Consider the following 12,649-nt stretch of genomic DNA (forward strand, 5'->3'; position numbering starts at 1 on the left):
CACTTACAGTCCTCTAAAGCACAGACAAGAAATCTTTTTTGCATAAATAACTTGTATGTGTTCATTCCCAGAGGAAGTTGTCCGCATAAGCAAACATCACCCAGATATAAGTTTAACCTCTTTAATCTTCCCCTCCACCCTGTCCACAAGGACATACCAAGCTTTCCAAAATCCAGGCAGAACTCCAGTTCTCCGACCCAGAAAAAGCCTGGCCTCACTCTCCACCTCCAGCTCAGCACTCAGGCCTGGCAGGCCACCGGCTGCAGAAAGATCCTCCTCCCCTTCCCCACCCAAGCAGTTGTGTTTCCCAGCAAAAAATCGGACCCTCAGCTGCTACCGCAGCCACATGATCCACTCAGTGACTCACAGGCAGGCCACACCCCTTCAGGCCTCCCGGCCAGGCTCTGCTCCCAGCCAGCTAACTCTGGGATGCATCTTATTACCAAAGGGAACAACTAGCTAACTAATGCCCTTGACAGTCCAAATAATTACTTTCTTTCATTAGAAGAACTTGCTTATAAAATATATACGGGCTGAGAGGACGCAGGCTCTTCTGAACTCTGGCTCTGCCAGCTCTCCAAGTCCTCCCCCACCATGCCAAGACCTGGGGAATGGCAGACATGGTTAGCTGGGAAGCTAGAAAGCTAAGACATTCCTGTTTAAAAAGAAAGCTCTTACATGTTAATACCTTTTTTTCCCAAAAATTTTATTGGGGGAAAACTACAAAACATTTACAGTACAATGTTTACAGTCACAATTTGTAGTGAGCTGATTCCCCAAAATATATTACAACTCAAGTTGACTTATCTTGTTACATTCAAAAACCTACTTCTGTCCAAAGTAGTCCAGAGAGTACATATAGTGCTCCAACTGTACCTACGTACAAACTAAAGCTACCGCTCATTCATCTGCTGTCCAGGAAAGCTTAGGAGACATTCCTGCCTTTCTACATGGAAAAAAAAATAGTACAAGTTTTGGAATTTTCTGTAATTAAACAAGGCATATTCATGTACTACATATTTCAGCACTAAGGCGGTTGCTTCACTTTATATCTATATAAAAAAAGTGGTAAAAATCTTTTCCTTTTGTGCAGTTGAACCCATCCTACATTCAGATTCTCTCAAGCACTAATAAAATACTTATTTGGTTGAGGAAGATTTAAGGCAAGTTCGGGCCCTTCCAAAGGCACTGTGAGACTCCCCCCCCACTCCCCGTTATTGCTACATGTCTTTATACTCGAGTATGTCACAGTAGAACTGGTGGAATAAGCAAACACTTTTTTGCTAGTTTATAAAGTTGGAATTAGAAAAGCATGCCACATTTCAGCCTGATTGCAAAGTATGTGGTCATTTTTTTCTTTGAAGTTGGATGGGCTACAACCTTTATACATTCTAAGAAAACTCATAGGATGTTCCTCAAACTACTTCCACAGCATCAAGATCGATTTCTGTCAAGAAATCATGCAATCTTTCAAAATTTACGTAAACAAGGAAAGAAATTAATGAAATAAATATTACATACAATCTCTTAAATTAAGAATTTTGTACTCATTTACAATAAAATAACCAAGTGAAGTTACAAAAGGCATATATTACTGTGAAAAGAACATACACTCCACATTTTGCCGATTAATAATGGCAATCATAATTTAACATAATAAAAGAATATATATCTATTGCTTTTCATCATACTTGATAAATACAGTATGAACAAAATTTTCATTGTATACTTTTCACAAGATAATAAATAAGTTAAATAGTTTTCATATTGAGTTGTGGTGCAGTGGTGCGAATCAACTCAAAACAGCTAAAAATTCAGCAGTTATTCTCCAACAATTACAAAGTAAGCTCTGCGCAAGGCTTCCAGAGGGAGCAGACAAAATGGTTCTAAACTGAACATCCACTAAGTGGTGGCAATGAAACCAAGTAACCAGTATGGACCTTTGGAATGCAAGGGTTTTTTCACCCCCAGACATATATAATTCTGTTAAAAAACAAAAAACACCTATGGGCTGAGGGCTAACTATCAAGGCATATTCTTGGCAGAATATATTGGATTTTAAAAAGCTTATAGGTTTAGCAAGGTGGCGGCTGGCTGGTTTGTTTACACCGGTCTGAGACACAATTAGGAACTTCTTCCAAGAGAAGGGTTCCCACATCTGGACTTAACTAATGCTGTTCAAGTGAAGAGATGGAATGGTGGTTGGTAGCTGCTGGTGCTGGGTTGATTTTTCCTGAAGTCCCAAACTCATCGGAGTCCTAACAAAGTTTAAGTGTTTTTTTTTTTTTTTTGTTCTATTCGTATCACAACTGCCCTGTTGTGAATATTTTGTTCAACAGAAAAAGTTCGACTTTTTTGCTCAAAAAGAATGAAACTTCGTAATAAAAATAAAAAAAAAAAGACAAGAGGAAACCGAAAAAGGAGGGGTGGGGGCCCCTCCCGGCACAGAGTTCGAGTCCAAGTGCTCGGTCGGGCTTGCAGTCTGCCTAGGGCCCATGTCACCCCCCCCACTCCCGTGCCCCCAGCAAGGGCGAGATGGCGAGGGGTGTCCTCCAACATCTCTGAACCGCCTTCCCTTCCTCCTCACTGGCGCCCTCTTGCCTCAGTCGTCGGAGATGGAGAGGCGGCTGAAGATTGGCAGGCGGCGGCCAGGGTCGAGGCTGGGAGACTCAGAGCCGCTGAGGCTGCCGGAGCTCAGGGAGCCGCTTAGGTAGCTGTCGCGGTCCGACAGCGAGTCCGGGGGGCTGGGGGGCGCGTCGAACACGGGCGAGTCGGACAGGCGGCGCGGCAGCTGGAAGCTGAAGGGCGGCGAGGGAGGTGCGGCGGCCCCGGCGGGGAGGGTCGCGCTGGGCGGCGCCGGCGGCTGCGCGGGGGGCGCCAGGCCCTGCTGCTGCTGCTGCTGCTGACTGCGGTAGTAGGCGGCGGCGGCCACGGCGGCAAAGTTGTGGGTCTGGATGGCGAGCGGCGTGATGAGGCTGCTGAGCTCCGGACCGAAGGCGAAGGCGTTGTTGGCGCACGAGGCCGACGAGCAGGCCGCGCACGGGGCCCCCGGCGCCAGCAGGTCCTCGGCGCCCCCGGTGCCGTACAGCAGAGCGGCCGCAGCCGCGGCCGCCGCGGAGGCGCAGCATGTCGGGGCGCCCGAGGGCGTGGAGGCCGCGGAGGCCGAGGAACAGGAGGAGGCGGAGGAGGAGCAGGACGAGGCCGAAGAGCAGGAGGGCGGCGGCGGCGTGCGCGACGTGGGGCTGTCGAGCAGCAGCGGCGACTCGAGGCCGCCCGGGGGCTGATGGTGGCCCGACGGGAAGCCCGAGAAGCTGAGGCTGTGGTGCAACTTGGGCCGCGGCTCCCGCGGGAAGCCCAGGTGCAACGCATCGCGCGTGCCAAAGGCACGCAGGTCCCCGGAGGCGCCCCCCGACGGCGCGGGCCGCCGCTCGTCCGCGTTGTGGATGAAGTGGCAGCGCGGCCCATAGGGGCAGAAGCCGATGGTATGAAAGGTGCGGCACAGCTCGGTCTTGTACTTCGGATGGCGAGTCAGGCTGCGCAGCTCGTGGAAGCCATGCGCGAACTGGCACTTTTCGCCGTACTTGCACGTGCCGCTCTCCTCGAAGGGCCGGCACAGCTCGGTCTTGTAGCGCGTGGAGTTGATCTGGGAGCCGCCGCCCCCCTTCTGCTGCTGCTGCAGGTGCAGGAGGTGCTGGCTGCGATCGCCGTTCTCGCTAAACGAGCGGTCCCGGAATTTGTTCTCCTTGTTGAGCAGGGCTGTGCCGCCGCCCCCCGACGGCTCCTTAAGGGTGCCGTAGGAGGTCGGACCGCCGGCCGCCGCGCTGCCGCAGCTGCTGCCGTTAGCGGCGCCCGGGAACTTGGGCGAGCAGCTGCCGGGGCTGGGCGCGGGGTGGGCGAGTGCATGCAGGTTGCTGGCCGAGTGCCGTCGGAGGAATCCCGGCGCGAAGCCCGAGCTGGGGGCGGCGGCCACAGGCGTCCCCACCGCCTTCTTGTCCAGCATGTTGTTCAGGTTGAGGTTGGCCAGGGATTTCTCTGTCTGCCAAAGGGAGGGGAGCGGGGAAGGGATGAAAAACGGAAGGGGAAGACAGACTCGGGGCGAGCCGCAGAGGAACTCCCAGCCTGATTCTTTTCCTTTTTTTCCCCCACTCTTGGCGGATCCCGACTCGGCCTCCACCCTCCACCTATACACGCGCAAAACCAGCAAGATCTTGCTGGACGGAGCGGGAGAGGGGAGGACGCCCACCGTGGGCCGCGCTGGGTTTCGACACGTGATCCTCCGCCCCGGCTGCCGAGGTGGGCGGCGCGAAGCCTGTCCGGGAAGCCCCGGGCAGCGTGGCCGCGGTCGGCAGTGGAGAAACTCAACCGCGACACCGGCGCCCTCCTTGCCGCCCTCCCCGCCTCCAGGGCGCTCGGACACTCTTTTGCAAACCCCGGGACTTTCCCGACCTGAAAGGCAGGGCGGGAGGGGCGTCCCCCAGAACCTGGGGACAGAGGCAAAGTCCAAGAACTACAACGGCTGCTGCCGGCCGGGCCCGCTCCCTGGCCTACCTTGCACAAGAAGTCGACATCGTAGAAGGCGGACAGAAGTGTGGTCGACATGTTTCTGGATCCCGCAGTGGCCGGAGCGGCAGGCCGGGAGGTCGGGAGGAGCCCTTGGGGCGGCGTGGCCGGGCTTGAGCCACGACGAATAACGGGCGAGGGGCGGGGAGGGGCCGAAAGTTTGCCGGGGGGCGAGAGGAGAGGGCGAGTGCAGCGGCGCGGGCCGGCGGGAGGGTCCGGCGGAGTGCGGCAGGGGGGAAGGAGAGAAGCGAGGAGCGCTCCTCCGCGCCCCGGGGTGCCCGGCCCGCCCCCCCCGCGGAGCCGACGGCAGCTCGCGGACTGCTGGAACTCGGCGGCCTCCGAGCGCGCGCCCTATATAGAGCCCGGGAGTGCGGCTGCGGCGGGGCGGGCGCGCCGGGGGAGGGGACAGAACTCGGCCCCCGCCGGGGTCTCCAGGCAACGCCGCCCGCCCGCTCGCGGACGTCAGGCGCCTTCCCGGCCTCCCATTGGCCGCCGCCAATTTTTTTCCTCCGGGGGAGGGTGCTGGAGGCCTCCGGGCGGGGCCGGCGGCCCGGGCGGCCGGTGTGGCGTGTAGCTCTCGGCCCCAGTGGATGCCGCCGGGTGGCGGCGGGAAGGCACGGCTGTTCTCCTCCGGGGCTGCGCGGTCGGAGAGCCCCGGTACGTTTAGCGTGGCCGGGATTCTGCAGCCCTGGACGTGTCTTTCCCTGCCCTGTTCTCCGAGGCGGACCTGTGGAGCTTTAAGCTCCCACCTTCGGTTTTGTACTGGGCGCGGGAATTGCAAAATGCCAGAATATCGCAACCATCCCCGCGGCCCGGCGGGTTTGCAAAGGGTGCCCCGGCCAGGAGGCGGGGGCTCGGGGCCTGCGTCCAGTCGGTGGCGGCTCCAGCCCGACTGCACGTGGAGTCGCGGTGGGGGTGGGGGTGGCCACGCGGGCGGCCGCCGCGGCAGTCTTGCCGGTGGAGCCCGGGCTCGTTTCTCCGCCCCCTCCCCGCCCAGGCTCAGTAAACAGGGCTTGAGCGCCGGGGCCTGCCGGGCAGGGCTGAGTGTCTGAGGACAAGGCGCTGGCTTTGCTAATCACATCACAAGACCTTGAGCCAGGGCCAAAGGCGCGGAGTGGCGCGGGACGTCCCGGGCGGGGGAGCTGACTCTGAGGACAGGAGGAAAGGCCGGGAGAGCCGTGCGGGCTTGAAGGCGACTTAGCGCCACCTTTCCGTCTGCTGGTCGGGCCGGCCTTCCCCAGCCCTCTGGGGCTGGGGGTGCAGCTGCCTGCCGAGGCTCCCCGCCCGGCACAGCCTGGGCCTGTTGCGTCCTCCCAGCCTCTTCCCTCCCCGGCAGTGGGGGCGCCGCGCCCAGCCTTTGCTCGATGAGGGCTGCAGGATCCGGCTGAGACCAACCCGCGGCGCAGGTGGGGCTGCACAGACGCTGATGGTGGGCGCGCCACCCTCTGTTTTCCCTCACTCGCCAGCCCCGCACCCCAACAGCTTGCGCTGGAAAATGCGCTTTGCCAGCGGGCGCCCCGCCTTCGTCCGGGTACGGAGGGGACACTCCCATCTAGCGCCCAGTGAGGCTAAAGCCGCTGACAGCCCCACTAGGAACGATCTGGAGTCTGGTCTAGGGCACTTCTCCCTCCGCGTTCATACAGGTTGCCACAAAAAGCTTGGGCCTGAAGCTCGAAGGCCCCGGACCCGCTGGGGAAAGAACTAGGCCTGCCACTCAGGGATTCGAGTCCCTGGAGTGTATCCTGCATTTCCCACTACTGTACTCCCCTCATGGCCCAGGGAGCCAGAGTCCAGGGTAAGGATCAGGAATGCTGGGCTGGAGTTCAGGTCCTGCCCCAGAGAAATCATGTGGTCTTAGGCAAATCACATCATCTCTTTGGTACTTGGGTTTCCTTGTTAAACGAAGATAATATTCTTGCTTTATTCATCTCTCACCTTTGGCAAGGTGCAAATGATATCTGTGAAGGTGTTTAAAAGACAAGCAAGAACTAAACCATCTTTATGTATTAAACCAAATTGACAAAAGCGTAAGGGTGGAGAAAGCCTGGCTTCTGAACTGTGGCCAGATGGACAGAGAGCCACAGAATCATGAGTGCAGAGCTGTGGGGGCACCCAAGTCCTGGACCCTAGGACTCACAGCCAAGAGCAGGTGACCTCAGAGGGACCAGTTTCACTTTTAGCACCTACCCTACACTGACCCCTTGACATACCTGGGCAACTGTGGTCTGGTTTGTTCTTTGGTGAGATGACCCCAAACATCTCACCAAACTGTGAAACAGCCACTTCCCTAGGCACTCCTATTAGGTTAGTAACAAGATTTCAGATACAGAACCAGTGGAAACATCTGTTTGAAACAACGTCCAAATCTGGGGTGAGTCCCAGTCAACAGCTGTGAGAACACCCACTTTGCAGATTAGGATTCTGGAGATAACATGTGGACATGTTACGGGACATGCTTGTGTACAGAGTACCTGCTAGTATAAAATGTCTAATGTAGCTGCTTTTATTTCATTTTAAATGGAGAAAAAAAGAAGTGCTGGCCATTTCCAATGAGCTGGGCTTTGTTGGGCCAGTTTCATTATTATTTTTCTGTGGTTATCACCACATTTATTTTACCAAGTCCCTCACTTCTCACCAGCTAGGTCTTAGAACAAAAAGTGTTAGGTTGGCAGCTTTCCATCAGGTGTGGGCTACACAGTTTCCTAACTAGGTAATTAATTCAGGATCACAAAAACCACATTTGGGGCCGAGTGGTTGCAAAACCACCCAGGGAATTTCCTGTTCTCTTTAGGACAAAACTTTGGACACTGAGTTAACTTCTTTCCTGCCTCTTCCTACAAAGCCCCTTTCCTATACTTCCAGTATGGCTGCTTTTTTGTTCTTAAATTCCTTTCTTTTAGTGATGGGGTCTTGCTGTGTTACTCAGGCTGGAGTGCAGTGGCCTTTCACAGGCATGAACTCCTGGGCGATCCTCCCACCTCAGCCTCCTGAGTAGCTGGGATTACAAGTGTGCACCATCATGCCTGGCTTACAGCTGCATTTTTAGTGTTAGATGGTTTTCTCTCGAAGAGCGATGAATTACATTTGAAATATGAGCTTTTCTGCAGTAGGAAATGATTGTAAACTCACTCTCCTCTAACCCGCCCCTTCAGACTCTGTGAAACATCAATGAAATTACTCTAAGTGATCATTTACCTGAGTACTTTTTTTTTTTTACAGACCCTAAAATCTGGAGCAAATTTACATACTATGAAATGTTTTTTTCAGATCAGTAGGATGAAAAATGAATGCGGATGAAGCTACTACCCTTCCAAAGCTATGATTCTCAAGATAACTATTAGTGGGTAACACTTATTCTGAAATTATAAATGAAAAATGGTGAGCCAGTGAAAAACTGGACCAGCAGCAAAACGTTTGCAAGAGCGCCACCTGCTGGATGTGTGAGGAAGAGGGCTGGGCTGGGCTTGAAAAGGAAGAAAATCATTAAGGTTTCTAGATTAAAATCACTGCAAAGGATGTGAGAGAGAGAGAGAGAGAGTGAGAGTGTGTGTGTGTGTGTGTGTTTGAGTGTTTGAGACGAGTCTCACTCTGTCGCCCAGGCTGGAGTGCAGTGGTGCGATCTCGGCTCACTGCAACCTCCGCTTCCCGGGTTCAAGCAATTCTCTGCCTCAGCCTCCCGAGTGGCTGGGATTACAGGCGCCCACCACCACGCCCAGCTAATTTTTTTTGCATTTTTTGTAGAGACGGGGGTTTCACCATCTTGACCAGGCTGGTCTTGAACTCCTGACCTTGTGATCCACCCGCCTCAGCCTCCCAACATGCTGGGATTACAGGTGTGAAACACCGCGCCCAGCTGATAAATGTGTTTAATGGCATTTTAAGTGAGACACTTGTTACTGCCACCAAGCGATAGGTAAACAATGTAGGCACAGAATAAGTCATTTTCTCTGACTCTCCTTTCCCCAGGTTCCTCCTCACAGCTAAGAGGACGGATATACTTTCACTGGGTGGCAAAATCAGGTTTCCTAGCATTAGCATACTTTTTGGGGGGTAGGGGAAATGCTCAATGGCTCTTTGAATAATTAGGATGGAATGTGTAGGTCACTGCAGGACTTAACACATGCAGACAATAAAAATAAATTATTTGTGCAAAGTTGATCCTGAATTCTCCCAGGATCCAACATTTGGAACATATTTCTGCTTTGCTAAAATGGAACAAAATTCACAAATCTGACCAAATGGGCTGTTTGCCAACTAATCCAGCCCCTACATAAAGCCAGAAAAGGGGAGAGGGGAGGGATCATGTGTATGTGCTAAAATCCAACTCTCTGTAGTCATTTCACAGAGAATGCAGGGCGGCTATGGCAGGGCATTAGAGGCCCTGGGGGATGAAAAAGGCTCATTCAGGCCTGCAGGTGGCCTGCACCTGGGGACAGAGTAAATCTGCAACGGAGTCGCCTCACTTCCTACAGTAGCAGCAATAAAATAGGCTGCCCTGAATGAGTGAACTGAAGAAAAGTTTCTCTGTAAGGAGTGACAGACGACTGGACTCACAGAAGTAGGGGAGGCATGAATGGGATAAAATTTTTGAATTTATGTTCAACATGTTTCCTGCAGATTTAGTGGAGGAAAAATCCACACATACCCCCATCCCAATCCCCCAGATTTTCTTCAACATGCCGCTTCTGTTCTTGGAAGAGTTAACTGCCTCGATTCTGCATAAGAGTCCCAAACACTGAGAACTAGGGTGTCTTCCCCTTCCTTTCCTTCCAAAAAGGCCAGCAGCCTCAAGCAAGCCAAAGTCCTTTCCTCTTGAATGCGTAGTCTTGTGAACTCCACTGTCTTCACAAACTCAGCAGCTGGTGGAAGCTCTCTGAAGAACTGAGACAGGAGGTGGCACTGCTCTGACACCATCCTTTGAAGGTGACAGAGCATCTCAGGGCTTGGGGGACGCCAGCCGGACTTTGAGAGGAGACAGAAGAGGTGCTTGCAGAGGTATTTCACAAAGATCAGGGTCTCGGCCCAAAAGTTGACTTCTGCTTTTTCAAACAGGTAGTCTTCTTCCACCTAAATCAGATGAAAAAGCCGAAAGTCAGTCTTACAGGGAATGGTGACAAGCCCCAGTCCAGACCAAGCAGTACCCTGCCAGATGCAAGAGGGGTTTCCCTTCCCCCACCTGACAGAGGGTGCACTCTTGCCTGTCAACATCCATGTACACACACCACTTGCAGCCTTGAAGGTCACCTTCTATTTTCACTCACTGTATTTCTCCACCAGAGAGGAATTTTTTCCCCAGACTTAACATGACCTTGGATAAAGATGTGTTTGTGGTTCAAAGTCAAGATACTTTGGGGGATGGATGCTGAAAAGGGGACTTCAACAAGGGAGTGGGCTCTAGAGTTTAAGGTGCAGCTGGAAATTGGAGAGGAGGGAGGAAAGGTCATCTCTGCAGCAGGCCAGAGAGGAAGGAATCTCCAAACACAGGACACTAGGCTGTGTCCTGTTTCTATAACACTGTGATTCTCAAGGTCCTTTTGTCAGACACTTACCATGTCTCCAAATTTCTCATAAAGAGGGACAATGCGTTTTGAACCCTTGGCCTGCTGGGGATGCCAAGAAGGCCAGCTGAGTCAGATGCTGGTGGCGATCAATTTCAGTTCTCAGGATGCTTTTGCTGCTTGTCTTTGTCCTCAGTTTCCCTATCTGTGACTGCACCCACCCTGGAGGGGGCTAATAATAGTTTTCTTCAAGCAGGAAGTTCCCAGCAAAGATCCTAATTCTCTGAAAATGCTTCACCCTCAGACCTAACTTTGGGAAGCCCCAGGCTAACTCCAATACTGACTAACAAGCAGTCTCCATAATAAAACTCTCCGCATCCAGGGGCTTCTTTTTTTCTTTTCTTTTCTTTTCTTTTTTTTTTGAGATGGAGTCTTGCTCTGTTGCCCAGGCTGGAGTGCAGTGGTGCAATCTCGGCTCACTGCAACCTCCGCCTCCCAGGTTCACGCCATTCTCCTGCCTCAGCCTCCCGAGTAGCTGGGACTACAGGCACCCACCACCATGCCCGGCTAATTTTTTGTATTTTTAGTAGAGACGGGGTTTCACCGTGTTAGCCAGGATGGTCTCGATCTCCTGACCTCATGATCCGCCTGCCTTGGCCTCCCAAAGTGCTGGGATTACAAGCATGAGCCGCTGTGCCCGGCCAGGGGCTTCTTTCCGAGTTCTCTCCCCTGGCTAAGCTGGAGGCTGACCATCAGCACCCCAGAAGTCAGCCTAAGAGTGTCCCCGTGTCCTCGGCAGCACCCAGTGGGTGACTTTCCTAGTGGTTCCTGCTCTGTGTCTAAGCATGCAAAAGCCCAGCTGAGGCTGTAGGTGCTGCATCTAGCGGGTTTAGGACACTCCAACCCTGCCTCCTACTCCCCTGACACCCCGGGATCACCTGATGCATGCTCTCCACACAGGCCACGAGGTCATCACTCTCTCCCAACAGCCATCCCAGCAGGATGGGCAGTCCAGGGGCCAACTGGTCCCACTGCTGGAGCAGATCACACAGGACGGCCAGGGCCAGGGCCAGAGCGATGGAGGCATCCACCTGGCAGAAGGCAAACTCTGCAAAGACAGGAGAAAGGTGAGCAATGAATATACTGCTCAGGGCCGACCCCAGGGCAGCCTGCAGGACCCTGGGAACAATAAAGGCCTCAGGTAAAATCGCTGCCACCAGCCTGGCAGGGAAGCTGGTAGGGTGGGCTCACTGGAGACGATTAATCACCTTCTGAATCCTGCTATTTATACTGTTAGAATGAGTCATAGGCCTGAACCCACTGTTTCCATGCCCCCTAACTCAGTGTGGACAGAAGCAGTTCCATCTGCAGGATTAGAGAGTTATCTCCCCTCTGCTCCTCCAGTGTCACCAGAAGGATCAGGAAGGCTTCCCTGTCCAGTGTCTCCTCTGCACATCTGCCTGGATTTGACTGGTTTGCCCTTTCCTTGGAAAGCAGATCTCTTGGGCACAAGACACATCCTAGAGCAGGGCATCGGCAAGCTTTTCCTTAAAGGGCCAGAGAGTCAATATTTTAGACTTTGCAAGCCTATACCTCCTCACCTCGGCTGAAAGCAGCCATGGACAATCTGTAAACAAATGGTTGTGGCTGTGTTCCAATAAAACTTTATTTATGGACACTGAAATTTGAATTTAATGTGTCACAAAATATTATTTTTTCCCAACCAATTAAAAATGTAAAAACCATTGATAGCTCATGGGCTGTAAAAAGCAGGTGGTAGGCTGCATTTGGCTCCTATTTTGCTGCCCTCTGTCTCGGAGTTTTTTGTTTTTGGACCCTTGTTTTCCTGGGTGCTTGGAGGAAGGGCACTGAAAGAATAGAAGGGTGCAGAAAGAGGAAGCAGGGGGCCTTGGGGAAACCATTGCTTATTTCAACATTTGGCCTTAGACAATCCTAAATATGGGTTTGGAGGGAGGCTCAGGGGTGTTGTCACTTCCCCTAACAACTCTGCCCCTCCCATCCCAAACCTGGAGGGTGTCTGAAACACGGGACTGAAAGCCCACTGCACAATGGACCTCTGTAGGCCCATCTTGCACCAACTGACATTGAAAGGCCTGTCTTTCAATGATGCATTTCTATTGAGCCCTGATCACTCCCAAATCCACATCTCTAACTTGAGCACACAGACTTACCCTGACCATCTGGCCCCCGAAAGACTTACTCGGCACACAGGCAGACGACCGAGAATCTGCAACAGCAGGCTTAGTTCCCGTGGGTGTTGAACCAGGCTTACTGGGATGGCCCCACTGAGGGCCTAGTGAGTGCCAGGCCCTGATCAAATGCTGTCTCCCCAGTCCTTCTAGCATCCTATGGGTTGGGTATTATGTAACCCACTTGCACACATCAAGAAATTACAGTTGGCAACAAGTTTCATGGTGCATGCAAAGCGCAGATTTGGAGACCCAGCATCAACAATCCAGAGGTTTTGATGGTGGGGTCAGCAGGGGTAGTGACCCTGCAGTAGGGCCAGGACTATTCAGAGGTCACACAGCAGCACCTAGTTGCATGTAAGCAGGTGAAAGTACTGATCT

General features: G+C 53.1%; 2 protein-coding genes and 1 long non-coding RNA gene across 9 annotated transcripts in view, besides 7 other annotated features; 1 reads left to right on the plus strand and 2 right to left on the minus strand.

Moving 5' to 3' along the window:
* Positions 1–685: 685 nt before the first annotated feature.
* ZFP36L2 (ZFP36 ring finger protein like 2) lies at positions 686–4,890 on the minus strand. The gene is made up of 2 exons (NM_006887.5): positions 4,549–4,890; positions 686–4,036 (listed from the first exon to the last, which is right to left on the minus strand). Exons 1-2 carry the CDS (start codon positions 4,597–4,599, stop codon positions 2,603–2,605), a joined length of 1,485 nt encoding a protein of 494 aa, NP_008818.3. The 5' UTR covers positions 4,600–4,890; the 3' UTR covers positions 686–2,602.
* Positions 2,604–2,683: an enhancer, noted in NCBI's record as "active region_15667". NCBI's record gives its function as "activates an Ori minimal core promoter by ATAC-STARR-seq in GM12878 lymphoblastoid cells {active_cell/tissue: GM12878}" and the evidence as "EXISTENCE:reporter gene assay evidence [ECO:0000049][PMID:35858748]".
* Positions 2,864–3,103: a silencer, noted in NCBI's record as "silent region_11421". NCBI's record gives its function as "represses an Ori minimal core promoter by ATAC-STARR-seq in GM12878 lymphoblastoid cells {active_cell/tissue: GM12878}" and the evidence as "EXISTENCE:reporter gene assay evidence [ECO:0000049][PMID:35858748]".
* Positions 3,174–3,223: a silencer, noted in NCBI's record as "silent region_11422". NCBI's record gives its function as "represses an Ori minimal core promoter by ATAC-STARR-seq in GM12878 lymphoblastoid cells {active_cell/tissue: GM12878}" and the evidence as "EXISTENCE:reporter gene assay evidence [ECO:0000049][PMID:35858748]".
* Positions 4,184–4,283: a silencer, noted in NCBI's record as "silent region_11423". NCBI's record gives its function as "represses an Ori minimal core promoter by ATAC-STARR-seq in GM12878 lymphoblastoid cells {active_cell/tissue: GM12878}" and the evidence as "EXISTENCE:reporter gene assay evidence [ECO:0000049][PMID:35858748]".
* Positions 4,538–5,501: an enhancer, noted in NCBI's record as "H3K27ac hESC enhancer chr2:43453393-43454356 (GRCh37/hg19 assembly coordinates)". NCBI's record gives its function as "activates a minimal SCP1, AML or CMV promoter by ChIP-STARR-seq in naive and primed H9 embryonic stem cells {active_cell/tissue: H9 hESC(naive and primed)}" and the evidence as "EXISTENCE:reporter gene assay evidence [ECO:0000049][PMID:30033119]".
* Positions 4,538–5,553: a biological region, named in NCBI's record as "H3K27ac hESC enhancer GRCh37_chr2:43453393-43454356".
* Positions 4,664–5,553: a silencer, noted in NCBI's record as "silent region_11424". NCBI's record gives its function as "represses an Ori minimal core promoter by ATAC-STARR-seq in GM12878 lymphoblastoid cells {active_cell/tissue: GM12878}" and the evidence as "EXISTENCE:reporter gene assay evidence [ECO:0000049][PMID:35858748]".
* LINC01126 (long intergenic non-protein coding RNA 1126) lies at positions 5,495–7,139 on the plus strand. The gene has a single exon (NR_027251.1). It is a non-coding gene; the product is annotated as a long intergenic non-protein coding RNA 1126 (long non-coding RNA).
* Positions 9,135–12,649, minus strand: part of THADA (THADA armadillo repeat containing) — a 365,188-nt gene continuing 361,673 nt past the window's right edge. For all 7 annotated transcript variants that reach the window (NR_073394.2, NR_144316.2, NM_001345924.2 and 4 more), the window contains 2 exons: positions 10,997–11,166; positions 9,135–9,627 (listed from right to left, as the gene is read on the minus strand). Coding sequence is in view for 5 of the 7 variants with exons in the window: in NM_001345924.2 (NP_001332853.1) it covers positions 9,232–9,627; positions 10,997–11,166 (566 nt within the window). In the remaining 2 variants the exon portion in view is untranslated. The remainder of the gene's footprint in view (positions 9,628–10,996; positions 11,167–12,649) is intronic.

This window comes from Homo sapiens, chromosome 2 (genome assembly GCF_000001405.40).
Source record: "Homo sapiens chromosome 2, GRCh38.p14 Primary Assembly".
Classification (NCBI taxonomy): domain Eukaryota; kingdom Metazoa; phylum Chordata; class Mammalia; order Primates; family Hominidae; genus Homo; species Homo sapiens.

Bases quoted from the DNA above. Each gene is read 5' to 3' on its own strand.
- ZFP36L2 (NM_006887.5), bottom strand. From the start codon at position 4,599: ATGTCGACCACACTTCTGTCCGCCTTCTACGATGTCGACTTCTTGTGC. The intron at 4,037-4,548 runs GTAGGCCAGGGA...TCCCTTTGGCAG, and splicing joins ATGTCGACTTCTTGTGCAAG to ACAGAGAAATCCCTGGCCAA.